Source organism: Homo sapiens, chromosome 20 (assembly GCF_000001405.40).
Source record: "Homo sapiens chromosome 20, GRCh38.p14 Primary Assembly".
NCBI lineage: Eukaryota > Metazoa > Chordata > Mammalia > Primates > Hominidae > Homo > Homo sapiens.
Window position 1 is genome coordinate 30813160 of NC_000020.11, and position 3679 is coordinate 30816838.

General features: G+C 60.1%; 1 protein-coding gene and 1 pseudogene across 1 annotated transcript; one reads left to right on the plus strand and one right to left on the minus strand.

The window, feature by feature from the left end:
* Positions 1–267: 267 nt before the first annotated feature.
* Positions 268–1933, plus strand: LOC124904970 (uncharacterized). Its single transcript, XM_047440638.1, has one exon. The coding sequence runs from the start codon at positions 685–687 to the stop codon at positions 1519–1521; it is 837 nt and encodes a 278-aa protein (XP_047296594.1). The 5' UTR covers positions 268–684; the 3' UTR covers positions 1522–1933.
* Positions 2997–3115, minus strand: RNA5SP528 (RNA, 5S ribosomal pseudogene 528; annotated as a pseudogene).

Genomic DNA, 3679 nt, shown 5'->3' on the forward strand with positions numbered 1-3679 from the left:
CCCAGGCGCTGGCAATAGAGTTGGCAGCCTGATCCCGGGACAAAGGTACTGATGGACATCCAGATACTCCCCGCCACAATCACTGGCAAACCCACTCCCAAACACACAGACGCACAGGGGCGCACGCGCGGGAACACAAGCACACACACAGACACACAAAGACACAGACAACTTGAAGGAGAGCAAGGGACAGAGGGATGGAGAGATAGAAACGGAAGGAGAGAGAGAAACAGCCATCGAGAGAGAGATAGAGAGGAACTGGGGAGATTGAGAGAGAGAGAGAGAGAGAGCAAGGTGGAGAAGGAAGCAGAGAAAGGGAAAGGGTGAGGGAGCTACAGAGGGAGAGCAACAGAGCCTTGGAGAGGGAGGCTCTATCTGGTAGACAGGGTCCCCTTTGCCAGGGTAGGGTGGAGGGTGACTGGGCCGGGCTGGAACAGGGGGGCAGGGCCGCCACTGCGGGAAAATCAACGGAGCCCTGAGACGTGTTTTTACTTGGATTGGTTGGTGGCCTTGGGGGTGCGTTTCGTAGCGTCATTCTTTTTTTGGCTCCTCCCTGTCCTCTTGGTGCTGTGGGCCCTGAAAGTTGTAGAGTGCGCCCCTCACTGTGGCAGGAGCAGTGGCGCTGAGCGTGCCCACGGGCCGCGGCTTGGGTCTCTCGTTTTCCGGGTGGTATGGCCTTAGACAATGGCAGTGGCGCCTGGCTGGCCCAAGAGCCCGGTCCAGCTACGCCCGCCTGATTCCAGGCGTCACCACCAACCCGGGGCCGCGAGGCTGGGATCAGGCACCCCGGAGCCGCTTGCCCGTGGCCGGGCTGCTCTCCCCCTCTACGCCCAAGCACCACCAGTCGCCGCGCTGCGCTTTCTGCCGACCTCCCAGAGCGTCCAGCTGTCGCTGGCGGCCAGACCACGCGCGAGACCTACGCGGTGCCAGAGGCCTCCATCCCCTGCCAGGGCTCTGGACTCTCCATGCGACCACCCTCTCGCTGACACTCCAGGCCTTCCCCAGGCTCTGGAGCTCCAGAGCTTCCAACACCTGGGGCCCGCTCAGGACGGGGTGTGCTCCGAGGCGTCAGGGCCCAGGGCCCAGGGTCCTGGGGTACCCTCTGGTCCTCCGCCTTGCCGCGGAAAAATTATTTTGGATTCCTCGCCGCCCCTCCTGCAAGGCCCCCTCTTGCCCCACACACCCAGAGCCGCCAGGGCTGCCCAGGGGCTAACAGCCGGCCCAGCCCCGCGGGCCCTTTTTCTCACAACGCCCACACCATCGTCGCTTGTTCCGACGAGGACCCGCCGTGGCCAACGGGGCAGGAAGGCTCTGCTTTGCCCCGTGCTAGCACTAGAGCCCCGGCAGCCTCATCCCGGGAAAGAGGGGCTGACGGACACCCAGACACACCCCACCACTACCACGAGCAAACCCCCCCTGACACACACACGGATAGACACGGGTGCACGCGCGCGGACACACACACACCACACCCGTGCACACACACACGGACACACAAAGACACAGACACAGAGAGCTTGAAGGGAGACCACCCCTCATATTGTCTTATGCCCAATTTCTGCCTCCAAAGAAAGAAGTAAAATCTAAAAGGCAGAAATGAAATCCACAGGCAGACAGCCCTGCGCCACACCCTGGGCCTGGTAGTTAAAGATCGACCCCTGACCTACTCGATTATGTTATCTATAGATTACAGACATTATATAGAAAAGCACTGTGAAAATCCCTGTCCTGTTTTGTTCTGATCTAATTACCGGTGCATGCAGACCCCCGTCCCGTACCCTCTGCTTCCTCAATCCATCACGACCCCCTCACACGGACCCCCTTAGAGTTGTAAGCCCTTAAGAGGGACAGGAATTGCTTACTCAGAGAGCTAGGTTTTTGGAGACGTGAGTCTGCCTATGCTCCCAGCTGAATAAAGCCCTCCCTTCTACAACTCGGTGTCTGAGGGGTTTTGTCTGCAGCTCCTCCTGCTACAGAAGGAGAGCAAGGGAGAGAGGGATGGAGAAATAGAACCAGAGGGACAGAGAGACAGCGATAGAGAGAGAGACAGAGAAGGGGGAGGCGAGACAGAGGGGGGAAGAGAGAGCCCCACAGTAGAGAGCGAAGTGGAGGTGGAAGTAGAGAAAGGGAGAGGGTGAGGGAGTTGTAGAGCGACAGCGACAGAGCCTTGGAGAGGGAGGCTCTGCTCAGGTAGACAGGGCACCTTTCAGCAGGCCGGGGTGGGGTGGAGGGTGCTTGGGCCGGGCTAGAACAGGGGGTCAGGGCCCCCCACCCAGGAAAACCAACGGAGCCCTGAGACGTGTGTGTTTTTTTTTCTTGAATTGGTTGGTTGCTTTGGGGGTGCGTTTCATAAGGTCCTTCCTTTGTTTGCTTCCTTCTGTCTCCTTGGTGCGGTGGGCCCTGACATTTGTAGAGTGTGCTCGTTTGTCTGGCGGGAGCCTTGGCGCCGAGAGTGTCCATGGGGCGAGGCCTAGGTCTCTCTCCTGTCCTCAGGACTGGAGTTCACACGAAGTCTGTGGCATTGGGAAAGCGGGTGCACAGGGACGGATTTCCTCGTGGCTGGCGAAGACAATGTCCTTCCCCTGGGGAAAGCAGCCCACGGGTTCTGGAGTGGAGGTCTTCGCTGGGGTCTGTGGGACCCGCTGTCCCTGCCCGTCCCTTCCCCCGGCTTGGACGGTTGCCGCGTCACTGGAAGAATGAATAGAATTGCCTGGGAGTCCGGGAAGCGTGAAGACACCCGGGACCTCAGGGAACCCGCGCCTTCGCCCTCGGGGTCGGTCCAGTCCCGCCAGGGTTGGAGCCAGGCTCCTGGTGGGGCTGCTGCGAGTGGGAAAAGGTGGGATGCTGCTGCCTGTCGGTGCTGCAGCAGCGGATCTTCAGGACGAGGTCCTGGGCTTCGGCTGGGGCGCGGGGGTGGTCAAGGGGGAGCAGAGGCGGGGGGCAGTTGGGAAGCACGGAGACAAAAGGGGGAAAGAGGGAGGGAGCAGGAAGCCAAAAGCCTACGGTACCCGTTATTACCAGGCGGAATCCCATCCGGGTACTAACCAGGCCCGACCCTGCTTAGCTTCAACAGATCAGAGGCGAGAGGGCCCGTTCAGGGTGGTGTGGCCTAGACGCCAGCAGCGGCGCCTGGCTGCCCCAAGAGCCGGGCCCAGCCACGCCCGCACGACTCCAGGCGTCACCGCCACCCCGGGGCCGCGGGTCTCGGATCCGGGACCCCCAGAGACGCTCGCCCGTGCCTCCGGGCAGCTGTCTCCCTCTACACCCGAGCACCGCCGGCCTCCCAGAGAGTCCCGCCGTCACCGGCGGTCAGGCCTGGCGCAGGACCAATGTGGCGCCGCCCTGCTGTTGCTGGTGGGCGCCGGAGGCCTCAGTCCCCTGCCTAAGCTTCCGGCTCTCAGGGCGGCCTCCCTTCCGCCCACGCTCCAGTCCTTCCGCGAGCTCCCGAGCTCTGGAGCTTCCACCACATCTGCCGGCTCAGGACGGGTCGTGCTCATCCCTTAACTTTTTAACTTTTTGTTGTTTCTATTTATATTTTATTGTGCTATGTCTTGAAATGTTGTCGTAGTTATTACTTTTGATTGGATATTATTTAGTATTCCTACCTTGAATAAGAGTAGTTTACACACCACCCATCTATAGTGTTATAATATTCTGTTTTGTTTTGTATCCTATTAGC

Excerpts from the sequence above, each read along its gene's own strand:
- LOC124904970 (XM_047440638.1), top strand. The coding sequence starts at position 685 with ATGGCAGTGGCGCCTGGCTGGCCCAAGAGCCCGGTCCAGCTACGCCCG.